Source organism: Homo sapiens, chromosome 19, assembly GCF_000001405.40.
Source record: "Homo sapiens chromosome 19, GRCh38.p14 Primary Assembly".
In the NCBI taxonomy this organism is placed as follows: Eukaryota; Metazoa; Chordata; class Mammalia; order Primates; family Hominidae; genus Homo; species Homo sapiens.
Genome location: NC_000019.10, coordinates 11,963,244 through 11,984,304, shown reverse-complemented (window position 1 = coordinate 11,984,304; position 21,061 = coordinate 11,963,244). Strand labels below are relative to the sequence as shown.

At 44.5% G+C, this 21,061-nt stretch overlaps 2 protein-coding genes across 5 annotated transcripts in view, besides 3 other annotated features; both read right to left on the bottom strand.

Moving 5' to 3' along the window:
- Positions 1-3,687: 3,687 nt before the first annotated feature.
- ZNF763 (zinc finger protein 763) lies at positions 3,688-19,265 on the bottom strand. 4 transcript variants are annotated; one of them, NM_001367173.2, is made up of 4 exons: positions 19,094-19,265; positions 7,141-7,295; positions 6,874-6,934; positions 3,688-6,189 (listed from the first exon to the last, which is right to left on the bottom strand). In NM_001367173.2, the coding sequence occupies exons 2-4, from the start codon at positions 7,274-7,276 to the stop codon at positions 5,196-5,198; spliced, it is 1,191 nt and encodes a 396-aa protein (NP_001354102.1). In that variant the 5' UTR covers positions 7,277-7,295; positions 19,094-19,265; the 3' UTR covers positions 3,688-5,195. The 4 variants fall into 4 exon arrangements, with proteins under 4 accessions (NP_001354102.1, NP_001012771.1, NP_001354101.1 ...); NM_001012753.2 differs by having other exon boundaries at positions 7,141-7,276; NM_001367172.2 differs by having other exon boundaries at positions 7,141-7,267.
- Positions 4,083-21,061, bottom strand: part of ZNF69 (zinc finger protein 69) — a 92,441-nt gene continuing 75,462 nt past the window's right edge. The window contains exon 5 of the mRNA XM_017027231.2: positions 4,083-4,264. Coding sequence (XP_016882720.1) covers positions 4,263-4,264 — 2 coding nt within the window. The 3' untranslated portion in view covers positions 4,083-4,262. The remainder of the gene's footprint in view (positions 4,265-21,061) is intronic.
- Positions 18,846-19,045: a silencer, noted in NCBI's record as "silent region_10136". NCBI's record gives its function as "represses an Ori minimal core promoter by ATAC-STARR-seq in GM12878 lymphoblastoid cells {active_cell/tissue: GM12878}" and the evidence as "EXISTENCE:reporter gene assay evidence [ECO:0000049][PMID:35858748]".
- Positions 19,184-20,137: an enhancer, noted in NCBI's record as "H3K27ac-H3K4me1 hESC enhancer chr19:12074983-12075936 (GRCh37/hg19 assembly coordinates)". NCBI's record gives its function as "activates a minimal SCP1, AML or CMV promoter by ChIP-STARR-seq in primed H9 embryonic stem cells {active_cell/tissue: H9 hESC(primed)}" and the evidence as "EXISTENCE:reporter gene assay evidence [ECO:0000049][PMID:30033119]".
- Positions 19,197-19,491: an enhancer, noted in NCBI's record as "tiled region #6121; K562 Activating non-DNase unmatched - State 8:EnhW, and HepG2 Activating DNase unmatched - State 4:PromP". NCBI's record gives its function as "activates a minimal TATA promoter and a strong SV40 promoter by Sharpr-MPRA in K562 cells, with weaker activation in HepG2 cells {active_cell/tissue: HepG2 | K562}" and the evidence as "EXISTENCE:reporter gene assay evidence [ECO:0000049][PMID:27701403]".

The window sequence follows — 21,061 nt, the reverse complement described above, 5'->3', positions numbered from 1 at the left end:
CCTGGGCTCAAGCCATCCTCCTGCCTCAGCCTCCCAAATAGCAGGAACTACAGGCAAGTGCCACCATGCGCAGCTAACATTTTTTGTTAATGAGGTGATGTATCACCATGTTGCCTTGGCTGGTCTCACTCCTAGCCTCAAGCAATCATCTGGCTTTGGTCTCCCAAAGGGCTGGGAGTAGAGGTGTGAGCCACTGTGCCTAGCCTATGTCACATTTAAATATTATGTTTTTAGAGAAAATTTTCTAAGAGTAAATAAATGTGATGCTGGTCTTATTTCTTTTATTTGCATATTTTAAACATTTTCAGCCGGGCACAATGGCTCACGCCTGTAATTGCAGCACTTTGGGAGGCCAAGCCAGGCGGATCACCTGAGGACAGGAGTTCGAGACCAGCCCGACCAACATGGAGTAACCCCATCTCTACTAAAAATTCAAAATTAGCCAGACGTGGTGGTGGGCGCCTGTAATCCCAGCTACTTGGGAGGCTGAGGCAGGAGAATCACTTGAACCTGGGAGGCGGAGGTTGCGATGAGCCGCGATTGAGCCATTGCACTCCAGTCTGGGCAACAAGAGTGAAACTCTTGTCTCCAAAAAAACCAAAACATTTTCAGGCAGTATAAGATTTTCTAGAGAGAGAATGCTTTATCTTGTGAGGGAAACTTACCTTAGATTATTCCTGAGATTTTTGTACTGATCTTCAATGATCTGGTCTTTCCATTTTTTTCTTAAAATACAGATCCATAAAAAATAGTCCTGATTATAAAATTATGGGGTTTTTTTTGGAGATGAGGGTCTCACTCTATCACCCAGGCTGGAGTGCAATGGCATGATCACAGCTCACTGCAGCCTCAACCTCTTGGGTTCAGGTGATTCTCCTACTGCAGCCTCTCAAGTAGCTGGGATTACAGGTGCATGTCACCATCCTGGCTAAAAAGTTTGTAGAGATAGGGTTTCACCATGTTGCCCAGGCTGTTCTCAGACTCCTGGGTTCAAGTCATCCACCCACCTTGGCCTCTCAAAGTGCTAGAACCACAGGCATGAGCCACCATGCCCAGCTATTATAAAATTAGTTTAAAAATTATTAGATTCTATGTTCATGGCTCACTGCAGCCATTCCTGATTTATCAAAGTTTTCCCTGTCCATATTCCAAATCACTGAACAGCACTGAAGAGCTAGAAACACTTGTTCTTTAATAAACTGAGGGAAGTAATATTGTCACGTGATAGTTTGAATGTATGTTCCCACCCAATGTCATGAGGAACTGCAATCCCCAGTGTTGGAGGTGAGTCCTGATGGGAGTTGTTTGGGTCAGGGGGACCTATGGCTTGTTTCTCTCATGGCTTGTTGCTGTCTTTGTGATAATCAGTGAGTTCTAGTGAGCTGCACCTTCCTACACCACTCTCTCTGTCTCACTCCTGCTTTCGCCATGTGACTGCCTGCTCCCCGTTCACCTTCCGCTATGATTGAAAGCTTCCTGAGGCCTTCACCAGAAGCTGAGCAGATGCTGGTGCCATGCTTCCTTTACAGGCAGATGCCAGGCAGACGTCACTGTGAATCACTGTGCCCAGCAATGAATAATTCTTTACAAGGGGACAAACCCTGTCTGGACATGGTGACTCATGCCTGGAATCCTAGCACTTTGGGAGACTGAGCTGTGAGGACTGCTTGAGACAAAGAATTAGAGAACAGCCTGGGCAACACAGCATAATCCTGACTCTATTACTTAAAATTCTAAATAAAAGTCTGAAAAGCAGCATTTCCCACCTATTCTCTCTGAGGGAGCCTTCATCTACATAACAAGGTCTCCTTTGCTAGCCAAGCTTCTTCCTTTCCTTTAGCATAATCTGTCTTGCCATTAAAAATGACTTCCCCACCAAACCTGGAATTTTTTTGGCCATGCCAAGTCTGCATTTTTCCTGGCCTCAGAATGGTATGTAAGCTTTTTTGTCTTATTGTTGGGTGGGTCCTCATTCTGAAGGCTCCCATATATACATGTTAAATAAATTTGTATGACTTTTCTCCTATTAATTCGCCTAAGTTCCTTGATCTGAAAATTTTTTTCCTGTTTTCTCACCTTATTTTATTAAAAAAAGTTCAAAAACAAGCATATCTAAAAATGAGCATTTTCATATCCCAGAAATCAAGGTATTTTCCATAGATAACCAGAAAATGCTATTTAGTAATTGCCTAACATCAACACAGAGTGATATTAAAACCTTATTGTGTAAAGTGGAATTCTGGAAGCTTAGCTTTGAATACATTTCATTTTGTCTGTGAAACATTGAAGAGTGTGTGTGGTGTTATGATATGTATTGGTTTTCATCCAGGGTAATAATGTTGGGTGTGTTAGACCTCTGGGGAAGGCCCCTGACCTGCTGCCCTCTTTCCACTCTAATGTTTCCCCACCTTTTTGATTGTGGGTCTTAAAACCCTCCCATGAGAGGGTCCCACTGACTTCATGAAGACTTTTAGCCTTGGAAATACTCGTGATATTCCCTATCTGTAGCTGTGTGTCTGAAGTTAGCTCAGAATAAACCACAAGTGTGTAGATTGCTAAAATAACTTACTTCTAAACACTGAAACTCAAAAACTGCAGATTTCTTTGTCTAAGCAGATGCAGAAAAGCAGAAGTTATAAAGCATCCGGACTCAAACAGGCACCATCACTGCCTTCTAAAATTAGTAGCCTTCCTGGCATATGAACACCCTTTGGGCCTGTGCTCCAGTGTCTCTTTGGGTTGGTCCTTGGGCTTTTTGTGAAACATCAAGACACCTCCATAGTCTAGGCCAATGTCAGGCTCTCCAGTGTGTCCTGTTCATCACCCTCACCCTGCACTTTCATTGTCACTGTCATTGGCCATTCCAACATTGTGCTTGCATCCTGTGGAAAGTCACATTTGGGGTCAAGTGGATGGTGTTGTTTCTACTGTTTGGTTAAAAGTGTCAGGGTGTATTTGGCCTTCAAGGGAGGATAAGGCAGGGGTTGGATTCAGGTGCACCCAACTCTTGTTTTTTTCATTTTGAGACAGAGTCTTGCTCTGTCGACTAGGTTGGAGAGTGCAATGGTGTGATCTCAGTTCAGTGTAACAACCACCTCCCAGGCTCAAGCGATTCTCCTGCCTCAGCCTCCTGAGTATCTGGGATTACAGGGATTACACCACGATGCCCAGCTAATTTATCTATTTCTTAAGGTTTCACCATGTTGGCCAGGCTGGTCTTGAACTCCTGACCTCAAGTGATCCACTCTCCTTGGCCTCCCAAAGTGCTAAGATTACAGGTGTGAGCCACCGTACCTGCTCAGGTGCCCCCACCTCTGTCACTGCCCTGTCTTCCCTGCTGTGAATCATGCTGTGTGATCTGACAATCAATGATTCCACCCTTCACTGATGTGGATACATTATCTGGGACTGGGTATGTCATCTCCACACACAGACAGGGTTTGGTCAGTGATTGATGCTGCATCCCGTGATGCCTGGACTTTGACCTTAGGGAGTTTTAAATAAGCGTTTCTGAAGAGCAGCTTCATTGGAACCTTAATGAAAATGAATTTTTCCATGCCATTGCATAACATATAAAAGTGACTTTTCCATGTTGCCATTAACTTTACATGGCTGAAATAAACAGGCTGTTGACAAGTTAGTATCAACAGCACATTATCAGAGAAAGAAAAGGCTGTATTTAGACAATTTACATTATTATTGTAATTTATTAGCTTCCTGTGACTCACTAAACCAACCTGAAAAAAATAGCTTTCTAAGGTATAAATGAATTTCTATGTTTTACCCAACGTACTTTCTGGTAAACAGCACCCATACATTTTATGAAATATTTTAGTCTTTAGAGAATAAGGCAAAAACAGCTCCAGGAGTCTAGAGCTGACATCCCCTCACCACAAGGCCAAGTCTTTTTTTTTTTTTTTTTTGAGACGGAGTTTTGCTCCTGTTGCCCAGGCTAGAGTGCAATGGCACAATCTTGGCTCACTGCAACCTCTGCCCCCCAGATTCAAGCGATTCTCCTGTGCCAGCCTCCCAACTAGCTAGGATTACAGAAGCAGGCCACCACGCCTGGCCAATTTTTGTAGTTTTAGTAGAGACAGGGGTTTCATCATATTGATCAGGCCAGTCTTGAACTCCTGACCTCAGGTGATTCACCTGCTTTGGTTTCTATCCAGTGTGAGTCCTACCATGTTTTCGAAGGTGTGAGGTAGATCTGAAGGTTTTTCCACATTGCTTACACTCATAGGGTTTCTCTCCAGTGTGAGTCCTTTCATGTTATCGAAAAGAAGTGAAAGAAATAAAGGCTTTCCCACATTGCTTACACTCATAGGGTTTCTCTCCAGTGTAAGATTTTTCAGGTATTTGAAATGACTTGGCAGAATAAAAGCCTTTCCCACATATCTTACATTTATAAGGTCTTTCTACAGAGTGCATTCTTACGTGTGTTTGTGTCCTTTCATGAATTCGAAGGTTCTTGGCAGATCTGAAGGCTTTCCCACATTCCTTACACTCATAGGGTTTCTCTCCAGTGTGAGTTCTACCATGGATTCGAAGGTGTGGGGCAGATCTGAAGGCTTTCCCACATTGCTTACACTCGTAGGGCTTCTCTTCAGGGTGAGTCCCAGCATGCATTTGAAGGATTGAGGCAGATCTGAAGGCTTTCCCACATTGCTTACACTCATAGGGTTTCTCTCCAGTGTGAGTCCTTTCATGGTACCAAAAGGAACTGGAACTACTGAAGGCTTTACCACATTGCTTGCATTCATAGGGTTTCTCTGCAGTGTGAGTTTTTTCATGTCTTTGAAATGACGTGGGAGAATAAAAGCCTTTCCCACATGTCTTACATTTATAAGGTCTTTCTCCAGAGTGTATTCTTATGTGTGTTTGTGTCCTTTCATGAATTTGAAGGTGTGAGGCAGATCTGAAGGCTTTCCCACATTCCTTACACTCATAGGGTTTCTCTCCAGTGAGTCCTACCATGCCTTCGAAGGTGTGGGGCACATCTGAAGGCTTTCCCACATTGCTTACACTCATAGGGTTTCTCTCCAGTGTGAGTCCTTTCATGATACTGAAAGGAACTGGAAAGATTGAAGGCTTTACCACATGGCATGCATTTATAGGGTTTCTCTCCAGTGTGAGTTTTTTCATGTCTTCGAAATGACTTGGCAGAATAAAGGCCTTTCCCACATATCTAACATTTATAAGGTCTTTCTCCAGAGCGCATTCTTAGGTGTGTTTGAAAACTTATAAGATAATGCTTTCCCACACTGCTTACATTCATAAGGTTTTTTCGCAGAGTGGGTCCTTTCATGTCTACGAAGGGAACTGGGATACGTGAATGCTTTTCTACATTCCTTACATTGATAAGGCTTCTCTCCCGTGTGACTCCTTTTATGTCTAAGATAGGATCTGTAACTACGGAATGCTTTATTACATTTGCTACATTCACAGGGCTTCTCCCCAGTGTGAGTTCTTTCATGTATTTGAAAGGAATGACACCAACTGAAGGATTTGCCACATTGTTTACATTCATATGGCTTTCCCCCAGTGTGGGTTCTTTTATGTGCTTGAAAAGAACTGGAACTATGGAATGCTTTCCCACATTGCTGACATTCATAAGGCTTTTCTCCAGTGTGAGTTCTTTCATGTATTCGATGGGTAGCAGAATAACTAAAGGATTTAACACATTGTTTACATTCATACGGTTTCTCTCCAGTGTGAGTTCTTTCATGGATAAGATATAATCTGAGACAATGGACAGCTTTCCCACAAAACTTACATTTATAAGGTCCATCCCCACTGTGCATTACCATGCGTCTTCGAATGCCTGAATGGGAAATAAAGGTTTTTCCACATTCTTTACAAGCATAGGGTTTCTCTCCGGTGTGATTCCTTTCTTGTGTTCTAAAGGAGGGGTGATATCTGAAGGCTTTCTTAGGTTGTTGACACTTATATGGCTTTGGTGCATAGTCCTGATACTCGTATGCCTTGTGCCCAATGTCACCTCTGATGTTCATATTAAAAGATGAGTTACCTATGCCAACTTCTCCACATACAAAGTTATCACATGATTTTGCTTCAGGAGAAGCTTTCTTCTCCTGGAAGTTCAGCCTGTCATCTGGAACCTGGGTAAAAGTTTCTCCACAATGACTGTCTTCTTTAATTTCATTGACATTCCCTTCTATGAGACTCCTGTCAAAAGTGAGAAGCACATTATGAAGGGTTTATGAGTAATTTTGTATTAATCAAGTATTGCACTTGCATTTTTAACATGGTCCATCAAGGTGTAGGCTTTCTGCCCTGGCTGAATTGTTTGAAGGTAAATGGACAACATGTTCTACAAGGTGACATAGTCATACCTATTGTTTAAAAAAATACTCATAAGGGGCTTAATACTATTCCCATGTAAACTATTTTACAAGTACTAAATACTCTGTGTGATTTTTCTTTCGAGTCAGGGTCTCATCCTGTGACCATCCTGGAGTACAGTGATATCATCATTGCTTACCACAGCCTTTAACTCCTGGGGGCTTGAGTGATCCTTCTGCCTCAGCCTCCTGAGTAGCTAGGACTACGATGCATACCACAATGCCCAGCTAATTTTTTGCTGTTGTTGATTTGTGGTCTCATTATGTTGCCCAGGCTGTTCTTGAACTGCTGGCCTCAAGCTATCCTCCTATCTCCACTTCTCAAAGGATTGGGATTACAGGAGTGAGCCCTCAGACTTAGTCACATGTAAATATATGATTTTGAGAAAATATTCTAAGAAGAGATGAATTTGATACTGGACTTAGTTCTTTGTTTTACTTCTCTTCAACATATTATCATATACTAAAATCATCTAGAGACACTGCTTTCTCTTTAAGTGCCAATTACCTGAAGTTTCTCCTGGGGTTTTGGTACTCATATTCAATGTTCTGGTCTTTCCACTTTTTCCCTAAAATACAGACACAGAAAAGTAGTCCTGAAGCAATATAAAACTGTGAAAAAATTATTAGATTCTATGTCTATGATTTACTGCAGCCATGCCTCATTTATTCATCAAAGTATTTCCTGTCTATGTTCCAAATGACTCAACAGCATTCATGAGCTAGAAACACTGGTTCACTAATGGACTGAGGGAAGGAATATTGTCATCCTTACCTATAGAGGTCAGGTTCCTGAAAGTTTCCAGCATCACTTCCCTGTAGAGTTTCCTCTGCGAAATATCCAGCAAAGCCCACTCCTCCTGGGTGAAGTTCACAGCAACATCCTCACAGGCCACAGGGTCCTGAAACATCTCACATGTGTAGAGGAGGCTGGGTGAGAGTGACAGCAGTGGGGGCCTAGACTCTATTCCCAAGAAGTTGCCGTGGACTCCAAACATTTATTCCCTGCTTTGGTCATCACATCCCTTTCTCGCTTTCTGTACTTTCTTCCATAAAGCATTTTTGTTGTTGTTGTTTTGAGATGGATTTTCAAAACAACAACTTGTTGCCCAGGCTGGAGTATAATGATGCGATCTTGGCTCATGACCGGGGTTCAAGCGATTCTCCTGCCTCAGCCTCCCGAGTAGCTGGGATTACAGGCATGCGCCACCACACCCGGCTAATTTTGTATTTTTAGTAGAGACAGGGTTTCTCCATGTTGGTCAGGCTGGTCTTGACCTCCTGATCTCAGGTGATCCGCCAGCCTCGGCCTCCCAAAGTGCTGAAATTACAGGCATGAGCCACCACACCTGGCCAGCAATTTTTTTTTTTTTTTTTTTTTTTTGAGACAGAGTCTTGTTCTGCTGCCCAGGCTGGAGTGCAGTGGCACAATATTGGCTTACTACAACCTCTTCCTCCTGAGTTCATGCAATTCTTATGACTCAACCTCCTGAGTAGCTGAGACCACAGGCATGTGCCACCATGCTCGGCTGGTTCATAAAGCAATTGTGATGCTAGAACTCAACAAGGGGTAAAGCCACAGTGGGTTGGGAAAATGTGTGCATTCACTGAATCTAAGGAGAAAAGGGAGCTGCCTGGGCTGTCCCTACTGTCTCTTTGAACTGTGGGTCTGTAGCACCTGTCGTAATAGAGTCCTATGAATTAATATGCAGAAAAAAGTTAACATTAGCAGTCCTGAGGCTGTGTATCCTTGAAAATGCCTGTTCCCAAAGTGTAATCTTTGATGACATTGTTAGAGAAGGCAGATAGCTACCCAAGAGCAGGAGAGAGAGTCCCTGGGACATCCCACACCCCAGGGACCACCCAAATCCGGCATGCTAGATAGAAGCAGAGAGGAGGGGAGACACCTAAGTAGAAAGAAACATCCATTATGATGCCCAGGAATCATTCAGTTTGCAGTTATCCTGTCAGAGTGTAGCTAGATAGATGCTGATAACAAGGGCAGATGGGACATTCCTAAGAAAAACCTGGCACTGTAAGTACACAAGAGGGCAAACAAGAAACTCCAGTTTATATCCAGGTGTATATATCCAGGTGTAATAAGCATAGATTTAACCACTATACAACCTTCCTGGGGTGGCAGTAATGAGCAGTGCAGCCACCCACATATCCACTGATGACTGAATGGATAAACAAAATGTAGTAAGCATACACATACAATGGGATATTATTTAGTCTTAGAAAGTAACATCTTAAAGGCCGGGGTGCGGTGGCTCACGCCTGTAATCCCAACACTTTGGTAGGCCGAGGCGGGCGGATCACGAGGTCAGGAGATCGACACAGTGAAACCCTGTCTCTACTAAAAATACGAAAAATTGGCTGGACGCGGTGGCGGGCGCCTGTAGTCTCAGCTACTCGGGAGGCTGAGGCAGGAGAATGGCGTGAACCCGGGAAGCGGAACTTGCAGTGAGCCGAGATTGCGCCACTGCAGTCCAGCCTGGGCGACAGAGCAAGACTCTGTCTCAAAAAATAATAATAAAATAAAAAAAAAAATCAATAACATCTTGGCCGGGTGCAGTGGCTCACACCTGTAATCCCAGAACTTTGGGGGGTGTGGGTGGGGCGGAAATCATCTGAGGTTGGGAGTTCGAGACCAGCCTGACCAACATGGAGAAACCCCATCTTTACTAAACATGCGTTTTATCTCAGCTACTCAGGAGAACTGAGGCAGGAGAATCGCTTGAACCCGGGAGGCGGAGGTTGTGGTGAGCTGACATTCCACCATTGCACTCCAGCCTGGGCAACAACAGTAACACTCAGTCTCAACGAGAAAAAAAAAAAAGAAAATAACATCTTGGCCCGTACTATGACATGCAAGAAACATCAGGATAATTGCAAAAGGCAGAACACAATAGAATTCATCTTAGAGAACTTATGTAGATTTCTCCAACTATCTCAACTGTACATGTAAAATTCCTTAAGCTGATAGGTTTTAAGTTTTGTTTCACAGTAAGTAATGAAAATCAATCATGGTAGCAGCCAGGTGTGGTGGCTCATGCCTGTAATCCCAGCACCTTGCAAGGCCAAGGCAGGCGTATCACTTGAGGTCAGCAGTTTAAGATCAGCCTGGCCAACATGGTGTAACTCCATTTCTACTAAAAATACAAAAATTAGCTAGGTGTGGTGGCATGTGCCTGTAGTCCCAGTTACCTGGGAGGCTGAGGTGGGAGAATTGTTTGAATCTGGGAGGTGGAAGTTGCAGTGAGCTGAGATCATGCCCCCGCACTCCAGCCTGGGCGACAGAGCCAGATTACACCCCACCCCCCCGCCCAAAAAAAGGCAAAATATTTCCAACTATACCTCCCCCTAAAGAATGTAATTATGTCAAACAAACATATGACGGGATGCTCAACATTGCATGTTATTAAAGAGTAAATTAAAACAGGCCAGGGGCAGTGGCTCACACCTATAATTGAGCATTTTGGGAGGCCAAGGCGGGTGGATCACCTGAGGTCAGAAATTTGAGACCACCCCGGCCAACATGGTAAAATGTCATCTCTACTAATAATACAAAAATTTATCAGGAGTGGAGGACCACGCCTGTAATCCCAGCTACTTGGGAGGCTGAGTCAGGAGAATTGCTTCAACCTGGGAGGCAGAGGCAGCAGTGAGCTGAGATCATGCCATTGCACTCCAGCCTAGGTAACAAGAACTAGACACAAAACAAAAAACAAAAAAAAAGAGAGAAAGAAAGAAAGAAAGAAGGAAGGAAGGAAGGAAGGAAAGAAAGAAAGAAAGAAAGAAAGAAAGAAAAGAAAGAAAGAAAGAAAGAAAGAAAGAAAGAAAGAAAGAAAGAAAGAAAGAAAGAAAAGAAAGAAGGAAAGAAAGAAAGAAAGAAAACAATGAGGCACCAGCAAACACCTGGTGGGGTAGCCTAAATCCCAAACACTGACACTTCCAAATGCTGGAGACAGTGAACTCTCCTTCACTATGGATGTGAATGGAAAATTCTACAGCCAATTTGGAAGACAGTCTGTGGAGCTCTGAAGAAAATAAGCATGGTCTTACTGATTCAGTAGTCTCAATCCTACATATTAACCTAAATGAACTGAACACTGATGTTCACACAAAAGTCCTCCCACAAACATTTTTAGCAGCCTTACTCATAACTGCCAAAAACTAGAATCAAACAAGGTGAGTCTTTAAAAAAAAAAAAAAAAAATTAACAAGGTCTCACACTGTATCTACCAGGCTGGTCTCTAACTGATGGCCTCAAGCAATCTTCTCACTTCAGTCTCCCATATGCTGGGAATTCAGGGATGAGGCATCACACCAGGCTCAGGATGAGCCTTTCAATAGGTGAATAAAGAAACAAACTATGGTAACACCCATAGAATGGAATGTTAGTGATGAAAGAAAATGAGTGGCCGAACGTGGTGGCTCACAAGAGGAATCCCAGCACTCTGGGAAGCTGAGGTGGGAGAATCACCTGAGCTGAGGAGTTTGAGACCCTGTCTCTCACAAAACAAAATTTTTTTAGATAAATAAAAATAAAAAATAAATGAGTCGTCAAGCAACAAAGGTATCGAGAGACCTTCAAGGCATATTTTTACATGAAAGAAGCAAGTCTGAAATGGCCACTTACAGCATCATTCCAAATATGTGATATTCTGGAAAATGCAAAACTCTAGAGGAAGGAACATCATCATCTGTTGCCAGGGATAAATAGGGGTGGCAAAAGAGGGAGGGGAGAGATAGAATTAGGAGGAGCACAGGGGATTTTGAAGGCAGTGAAACGTTTCTGTATAAGACTGTGATGGTGGATACAAGACACATGTAGTTGTCTTAAACCACAGAACAAAAAGAGTGAAGTTTAATGTAAAAGATGGACTTTAGGTAATAATAATATTGGTTTCTTCAATTTCCATCGTGTTCACATGTAATATATTCTTGCATCAATTGTGGGATATACTACACACAGTCAATATGGTTTAAAATGATTTTTTTTTTTTTTGAAACAGGGTCTTGTTATGTTGCCTAGGCTGAACTCCAACACTGCAGTTCAAGCTGTCCTCTTGCTTCAGCCTCCCTAAGTGGTAGGATTACAGGTATGAGGCACAGCATCTGGCCAGTCAAGATGTTTAAAACAGGGGGAATTATGAGCTTGGAAGAAAAATGTGGGAACTCTGTGGATTATTTGCTCAACGTTTTGGGCAAACAACCACTGTTCTAAATAATAAAATCAATGAAATAAGAAAGTGAATTAACTATCATTCCATGTAAGGTTCATAACTGAGTTAAAATCCAATATAAAATATCACACATTGGTTATCATTTGCATAAAAAATGTGCAAAAATAAAATATACTGATGGGGATGCATACCCAGGTTGTGAAAGTATAAAAAGTAAGGCAATTATCTTATTCCCAATACTGGCTCCATCATTATTTGGATTCATTGTGCAATTCTTTTATGTATTTTGTGCATATGTAATATTTTTACTAAGTTTCTAGAATGCACACTTTATACAAAAATAAATCTCAGTGAATTTCAATTATCAGCCACAACCTGTTGAATGTAATTTTTAAAAGACAACATACTCTATTGAAACTCATTTTTTTCTTTTTTCTTTTCTTCCCTTTTTTTTTCTGAAACAGGGTCTCAGGCTCATTCTGTTGCCCAGGCTGGAGTGTGGTGGTGCAATCATAGCTCACTGCAGCCTCAAACTCCTAGGCTCAACAGATCCTTCTACCTCAGCCTCCTGAGTAGCTGGGACTACAGGTACACATCACCATGACCAGGTATGTTTTTGTATTGACAAAGTTTGCCACGTTACCCAGGCTGGACTAATTTCTTTTCTTTTCTTTTTTTTTTTTTTGAGACAAAGTTTTGCTCTTGTTGCCTGGGCTGGAGTGCAATGACACCATCTTGGCTCACTGCAATCTCTGTCTCCTGGGTTCAAGCGATTCTCCTGCCTCATCCTCCTGAGTAGCTGGGATTACAGGCCTCTGCCACCACGCCTGGCTAATTTTGTATTTTTAGTAGACATGGAAACCTCCACGTTTGTCAGGCTGGTCTCAAACTCCTGAACTGAGGCTATCCATCCACATTGGCCTCCCAAAGTGTTGGGATTAGAGGCGTGAGCCACCGCGCCCGGCCACAAATTTCTATTAAAACTAATTTTCTTGAAGCCCAAAAAAGTCTCAGGAAGGATATAAAATGATTATTATGCAAAAAGTCTACACTGAAAAACATCAATATAAAATGCAATAAATGGAAAAATGTCATGTGTCCTTAAAAGGAGATTAAATAACACTATGATGTAACCTCTTTGAAATACGACTACAGTTATATTTTATTCCATGAAATTTATAAGGCAGTTTGTTTTTTTCACTAAAATTAAGAAAAAAGTACTTCTAAAAACTGAAATAGAAGACAATGACTAAGAACAGCCAAGATGCTCTATAGAATATGGTTGGAGGGTGTTACGGCATGAATATTTGCATCACTCTAAAAAAATCACACATTAATAACCTACCCCCCACTATAGTATTAGAAGTTGACATCTCTGGGAATTAATTAGGATTAGATGAGAGCATAAAGGTAGATGCTTTCCGAATGAGATTAGTGCTCTTATAGGAAGACACAGGACAGCCAGCTTCCTCTCTTTTCTGTCATGTGAAGAAACCACAAGATGACCATCTGCAAACCAGGAAGCGGGCCATTACCAGACACTAGATCTGCCAACTCCCTGAACATGGACTTCACAACCTCAAGAACTGTCAGAAACAAATGTTTATTCTTTAAGTTACCCAGTCTATGGTAATTTGATGTAGCAGCCCAAGATGACTAAGATAGAGAAGCAATATCCCTACTATACACTGCAGCTTTGAACTCTACACTAATTAAGAGAAAATGGTATTAACAGAGAGATGGAAGGACAGACCAATGGAAAACAGCAAATTGTGAGACCAGGGCATCTAGTTTTTTAGTTTTTTTTTTATTTTTTGAAATGAGGTTTCACTCTCCTTGCCCAGGCTGGAGGGCAAAGGCGGGATCTCGGCTCACTGCAACCTCCACCTCCCAGGTTCAAGCGATTCTCCTGCCTCAGCCTCCCAGGTAGCTAGGATTATAGCCATGCGCTGCCATGCTCAGCTAATGCTGTATTTTCAGTACAGATGGGGTTTCACTATATTGGTCAGGCTGGTCTCAAACTCCTGACCTTAGGTGATCTGCCAGCCTCAGCCTCCCAAAGTGTGTGAGCCACTGCACCTGCTCTGGACATCTATTTAAGGTAATATGAAACTATGACAAACCAGGTATTGCCAGCCAATGATACAAGTGGTGAACACTTAACAGAAAAAGCAGGGACAAATGGTTATCTACAGGAGAATAATCAATCTACTACTCATCATCTCCATATACAATAATTTAATTAATTCTAGAGTTACCTGTTACAGTGAATTCTTTTATTTATATGTTACCTTAGCATGCATTTTCTTTATGGATTTAACGTTGTTATAACAGAAGAAAACTTTACTCAAACTCTGAACAGTTTCTGGTTCTCCACCTCCTCCCAGTTCCTCCATGTGGTTAACTCACATATGGGACTTACTCAGCTGCATTCTGGTGACCACCTCCCTGTGGGACAGCTAAATACATCCTTGTTGGAGTGGCCTTTCCTTGTCTTTTGGGATATTTCTCTCTTCACAGTTGAGACAATCCAGAGGACAGGAATCATCTCTGTTTTTCCTCATTAGCAACATCCGATTGGCAGAACAGCCATGTGTCTCCAATTAATGGAAAGTGGAGTTGGGAGACAGAAGCTGAGCACCCCAAGAATTGGTTATGTAGATGAAGAGTATACCAGGCATCTCCTCCACCATAAGGCATTCAGCTGCTCCCTCGGGAGGTCCCACTCCCCTAAGGCACTAATACCCATGAGACCCTCCAGGAGACATGGCAGTTGTGGGGATCTTGAGCCAGCCCCAGGCAATTCTAAAACCCAAAACCAGGAAAAGATAGGAGGGTGTACTGAAGACACATCACCCTGTAAAGTTTCCAGAAAGGAACCTCATCCCAAAGACATCCTGATAAGGTGTCTGTGTCTAGGAAAGATAAAAGGAGGAGAGGCAGAAAGGATTTTTCAGGCAAATGTCTAGTGGTTATTCTCTGCTTTCCTCTCATGTGAAATGTTCAGAAACAGATTTCACTGCAAGCCCTTGAAGAGTTAGGCTGTGGTATGAGGGTGGAGGATTTGAGACGCTGCATCCCATATATTTGGAAAATGTAAGGGGAAACCAGTTGCCCTGGAGAATGTGAAAAAATTTAAATAAGAAGCAATGAGGCCAAACTGTGTGAGGTGTCCTAAGGTCCTACCTAAGGATCCTGAAATCATATTTAAATACAACTCGTGAAAATTACTAATGTATAGGGAAATGAAATTTATGCTTAATCAGGCACAATCCACCAATTAACCGCTGATTACATAACTAGAAATTTTCTACCTATATAGGCTGTGTGAACAAGTAAGTCAGGCCCGGTGCAGTGACTCCCACCTGTAATCCCACCACTTTGGGAGGCCAAGGTGGATGGACCACTTGAGGACAGAAGTTCAAGACCAGCCTGGCGAACGTGATAAAACGCTGTCTTTACTAAAAATAGAAAAATTAGCCGAGTGTGGTGGCACGCACCTGTAATCCCAGCTACTGGAAAGGCTGAGGCCAGAGAATTACTTGAACCCAGAAGGCAGAGGCTGCAGTGAGCTGAGATCACGCCGCTGCACTCCAGCCTAGCCGACAGAGTGAGACCCTGTCTCAAAACAAACAAACAAGCAAAAACAACCAAGTAATTCAAAAATTTAAGCTGATGAATCTCTACATCATCTTGAAGCAATGTGATCATGGGGTTGAGTCACATGACACACAACTTTCACCTAGCTAGCTGGAACCCTCCTTTCCCTGATTACAGATTTGCCTTCTTTCTTACCTATAGTGTTTTGTAAAATGTTGTAAATGACTGAAGGGAAACAGGAAAGACCCTTTCCCTTGTCACTGTCTTTTTAAATTTAATATGATTTTTCACAATTGAGATGGGGTCTCACTATGTTGCCAGGCTGGTCTTCAACTCCTGAGATCAAGCCATCCACCTGCCTCGGCCTCCCAACGTGCTGGGGTTACAGGTGTGAGCCATCCCGCCAGGCCCCTCTCTACTACTGATCTCTATAGTACACTAATTTCCCTCTTAACTTTCTCACACAAAGACTCCATGGCTATCATGTTGTCTTCAGCTAGAATATTAAATTCACTTTTTTAAATTGAAAAGGAAATATAAACCAGCTAGAAAGAAAAGAAAACAAGCTCTGGGGGAAAAAAGCAAACCACTACAAATTAAGTTGTTATCCACATGCATTTGCTCATGTCTATAATCCCAGCACTTTTGGAGGCCAAGGAAGGAGGACTGTTTGAGGCCAGGAGCAAGAGACCAGCCTGAGCAACATATCGAGACCCCACCTCTGTAAAATACAAAAAATTAGCCAGGTGTGCTGGTGGGCAACTGTACTCTCAGCTACTGGGAAGGCTGAGGTGCTTGAGCTGGGGAGGTCAAGGCTGCAGTAAGCCATGATCGCACCACTGCTCCAGCCTGGGCCACAGAGCTAGACATTGTCTCAAAGAAAAAAAAAAATTAAATTATTGTACCTCATACATCAGCCTTCTATGGAAAATGTAATCCTGTTACATTTATTTGCCTTTTGCCTATATAAGTGTTAGGGAAGCAAGTGCCTAGGGGAGCCAGAGAAAGACCAATCAGCTCCATCTTGAGACTAACAAGAAACACTCCTTGCCAGTCACAACCCATGGTCATAACATGTTTGACATTAAGAAAACAGCCTGAAGATGCCTGCAAGTATCCTTACACTCCCACAACGACAGAACATCCGGATGTCCCAATACTCATAATAGTATGTGCTTTCAAGATAATTATAGTTATGTTTTAATGCACTTGTGTGCTAAAAGGTAAAGGATAGTTTTCTTTAAATCAACAGAGTAATAAATTTTGTGACGCTGTCAGCCCACATGCACGTAGGCACAGCTTAGTTTAGTCTTTACATAGACAAGACCCCTACATAACAAAAACTTAGACAGTATGTTCCTCCACTTGCTTTATGAGGATGCCCTACTCTGTAACAGAGAACATTCCTTCTTTTTCTTTTTTCTTTTTTTAAAAATAGAGACAGGGGCCGGACATGGTGGCTCACGCCTGTAATCCCAGCACTTTGGGAGGCCGAGGTGGGTGGATCACGAGGTCAGGAGATTGAGACCATCCTGGCTAACACGGTGAAACCCCGTCTCTACTAAAAATACAAAAAATTAGCCGAGCGTGGTGGCGGGTGCCTGTAGTCCAGCTACTCGGGAGGCTGAGGCAGGAGAATGGCGTGAACCCGGGAGGTGGAGCTTGCAGTGAGCCGAGATCGCGCCACTGCACTCCAGCCTGGGCAACAGAGCGAGACTCCGTCTCAAAAAAAAACAAAATAGAGACAGGGTCTTGCTGTGTTAGCCAGGTTGGTCTTCAACTCTTTCTTGTTTATTTTGTTTTTGTTTTTTGAGATGGGGTCTCACTCTGTTACCCACACTGGAGTGCAGTGGCGAGTCCTCGGCTGGGCTGCAACTTCTGCCTCCTGGGTTCAAGTGATTCTCCCACTTAAGCCTCCCAAGTACCTGCGACTACAGGCACAGGCCACCACACCCAGTTAATTTTTGTTATTTTTGGAAGAGAAGAGGTTTCGCTATGTTGCCCAGGGTGGTCTCGAACTCTTGACCTCAAGTGATCCTCCCGCCTTGGCCTTGAAAAGTGCTTGAATTACAGGCCTAAGCCATCATGCTGGCCCAGAGTAGCTTTCAATAAACTCTCTACACACTGTACATTGCGACTTGTCTTGAATTCCTTCCTGTGTGAGATCCAAGAACCCTCTTGGGGTCTGATGAGGACCTCTTTTCCTGGTAATATAAAGCCAGAACTTAACTTCCAATTTTGGAGGACTGAGTCCTTTTCTCTAGAGTCTGTGTTTTTCCTGTTTGGGCCATTGCTATCTTTCTGCTTGAATAAACTCTTCCAGCTGAAATCTGAACCTTTCGATTATTTCGGAGTGACAAGTCCAAATAAGGCAACTGCATCTCTGCAACCAATCAAGCATTTATCTCATTTGTCTCCTCATGTACCTTATAAAAGCCCAGTCTTCAACCTGCAAACTTAAAAACATACCTTGCGGCCAGGCGAGGTGGCTCACATCTGTAATCCCCGCACACTGGGAGGCCGAGGCAGGTGGATCACTTGAGGTCAGGAGTTTGAGAATAGCCTGGCCAACATGGTGAAGCCCAATCTTTACTAAAAATACAAAAATTAGCCAGGCATGGTGGTGCATGTCTGTAATCCCAGCTACTCAGGAAGCTGAGGCAGGAGAATTGCTTGAACCCAGAAGGCAAAGGCTGCTGTGAGCCGAGATCCAGCCATTGCACTCCAGCCTGGGCGACAGAAGGAGATTCTGTCTCAAACAAAAACAAAAACAAACAAAGTACCTTCCCAGTTAAGTGAAGTGACTGGCTCTTGGCCAAGGGAACCCCCAAAAAACCCTGAAAATTGAGTGCCTCTGTATGACAGGATGGCAGGTGAGACAGGTCTCCTTATACCCTCTCCCTTTAGGAGTTTACATGCAGCAACTGACGCACATTCATGTAAAAACAGACATTATCTGACTGGAAAAACAGACTCCTTGTGGCAAGAAGATACCAAATTACAAACAAGACCTAAGGCCACGCAAGGTAAGGGTAAGTCATGCCTTGGAATTCATAAAATCTCGAGAAACAGGTCTGTTTTTTGGCTGGGATGGAATCAAGTGGCAGATAACAGACCCCCTTCCTTCAGCATTCCTTCCTACCTCCTCCAAACTTTAGACAAACTTCACACTCTCAATCAACTGCCACCTACAGAATCCCTCAACCACCTGTGCCTTCTAACCCCCCTTCCACAGGTCCCGCCCTTTCTGCCAATGGAACTTACACCTTCCAGGCACTGATTCATGATTTTCCCTGCAATTCCTGTCTCTCTGAAATGAATAAAACCAAATTGTCTTGAGCCGCCTCGGGACCACTCACTATAGGCTTCTTGGGGTTGTGTTTCCCTTGCCAAGGTCTCTCCTATTTGGCTACGAATAAACTTTATTTTACATTGTTTGGCTTTTTCAGTTGACAAACCACAAGCCAGGACTGGGTGGTTCTCATTACTGAATTGCTGTTTGCTCAAATGAACTCTTTAATTGTTAATGTACTTCAGTTTAATTTTTAACAGGAGAAAGTGGGAACTGGGGGCCCCACAGACCACTGCTCCTCCCACGCACGAACCCTACACACGAGTCAGGATTTCCCCCATGACCCTCTCGTGGCTTCCGCATAATCTGGGGAGACGCGGGGCTGCGGGCGCGGAACTGCCCAGAGAGGGCTCCGGGGCGGGGCCGCAGTCACCGCGCAGGGACAGGACAGGACACCCGGGGTCCCGGCTGCCAGCCCAGCCCCATCCAGCGGCCGAGGGGACCGAGGGCCGAGCAGCTCCAGGAGGACTCGGTCCCAGACCCTGGAGTCGCCCGCAGGGAGGCCCGGGTCCCGCCGCAGCCGGTTCCGGCCGGTTCCAGGCAGCCTCTACCCCGTCTCGGGACAACCGGCTATGCACACGCACCATTTCCTGGCTTTCAGATGTCCTGGGGTCCTCTCTACAGCTCCTGTGACTACAGAAGGGCACAGCGCAGGAGACAGAGCGATAGAAACCTGGGTAGAGGTACCAGGTCCCTCTCGGGGATGGATACAGCGGATATCAACCACCGGCTGCGCAAGGACAAAGGTGAGGACAGGAATGCGACCCACTCTGTGCCTGGATAAACAATGGGCAGGGCCCTGCCCCGGCACCTCTGATTGGATGGAATGCTAGGCCCCGCCCCTCACTTCTGAGTGACAGCGGAAGCCTTGGGTATCAGGCCCGGCAGAGCCAGACTGACTTGACGGATTCTAGCCACAGCTTCTCTAAGGGCGAGGTGCTTCCTGTACTCTGATTATTGGATATTTGCATTTCAGCCAGACTTGCTACAGATATAAGAGAACACTAGCGTCTTCCTCACTCAAGGGATTTTCCCCGCTCCTTCGTTCTGCACGGGGTCACAGGAGTGTGCAGGGAATTTCAGACTCAGTGTCCATAGGAGCCATCTGCTGGCCTCAGAGCAGCAGGGGAACCGAGACCAGGCCAGGCACGACTGCATCAGGAGAGGCACATGTCCTTGAGCGGGCCGGAATTGGGAATGAGGCATGGCCAAGCCTTGCTCACACACCCCCATCCCCTCCTCACAGTGTGAAAATGCTCCCTGCTTCCAGATCTTCATTTTCACCAGCAGGAAACTCTCACCTGGGGTTAATTTAACCTTCTGACCTAAATAAACTGTCAACTTCATGAACCCTTTATCCAGGTGTCGCCCCCAAACAATTCTGTCTCTAGCCTGATATTCACACATTCTCTTTATATATACAAACAACTCTGCCTCCAGCGACCCCATGCGTGTCAAACCCCAAACCCTGCCCAGAAGACAGCCCCAGGCTCCAGAGGTACAACACCAGAAAGGACAGAACCCCACAAAGGCGTCTGCACGTCTCTTCTGCTTTCCAGGGCTCTGCAGCTTCTCGGAATCCACACTCCTTCTGGAGCTGCTCTGAGCGGCTGGAGGCCACTTGTAGGGGAGGGCGGGCTGCCCGGGAAGACCCCAGGGAATCTCTCTTTCTCTTCCTTTGCAGGATCCACACTGGCCTCGGCGTGGAGTCACTGGCCTGGGGCTCTGCTGCCCCCTGCAGGTTATTCAGCTACTTCTCACCCGACTGATCAGTTCCATGAGACAAACACCCTCAAACCCCTGCTCTCCTCCTATGTTTATGTATAAAATGGGCGAGGAAAATTCTAAGATAACTTAAGTGCATTTAAAAGACTTTCAGATCGCGGTGGAGGTGGCAGCTGAGGGTCCCCTGATCAGTGACACTGCAGCAACTCCAGGCCTGGAGAGAGGGTGGAGAGCTGGAGCTGGATGTGGACAGGTGGAGGGAGCTACTCTGGGAACTGGGCTCTACAGCAGCGCGGATCTAGGGCCCGGAGCCCGGGAGAGCAGAGATGGGGGCTCCCGGGACAGGACGCTTGGGGAGAAGAGAGTCGGGCGGTTTCCATGGGACGGGGGTGCTGTGGCAGCTGGTGTGGGCCTGTGGCTATCATAACTAAGCCCGATTGGGACGTGAAAACTTGGATTCCGTGGGAATTTATGAAGAGGAAGGCTCTGATGACAAAGAAGTCATTGATGAGGAGGGGGAAGAGAGTCACCGGCAAGCTCACCCCCTTATGGAAAGAAAAGTGAACGCTCAACCACTGCTGCAAAATGGGGTCAAAGGATGAGAGTATCACTGTGAGGGAATAAACTGCTGCATAACTCTGAGAGATTGCAAAAACCTTTCAACAACAGCCTGGGAGGCCGGATACCATGGCTCACGCCTGTAATCCCAACATTTTGGGAGGCCAAAGTGGGAGGAGCACTTGAAGACAGAAGTTGGAGATCACCCTGAGCAGTGAAGTGAGACCCTCCCAACTCCATACATCTTTGTTTAGAATTAGCCTGGAGAG

Coding starts and splice junctions, on each gene's coding strand:
- ZNF763 (NM_001012753.2), bottom strand. Junction 6,935..7,140: donor CAGGAACCTGACCTCTATAG/GTAAGGATGACA, acceptor TCTGTATTTTAG/GGAAAAAGTGGAAAGACCAG. Junction 6,190..6,873: donor AACCCCAGGAGAAACTTCAG/GTAATTGGCACT, acceptor CACTTTTGACAG/GAGTCTCATAGAAGGGAATG.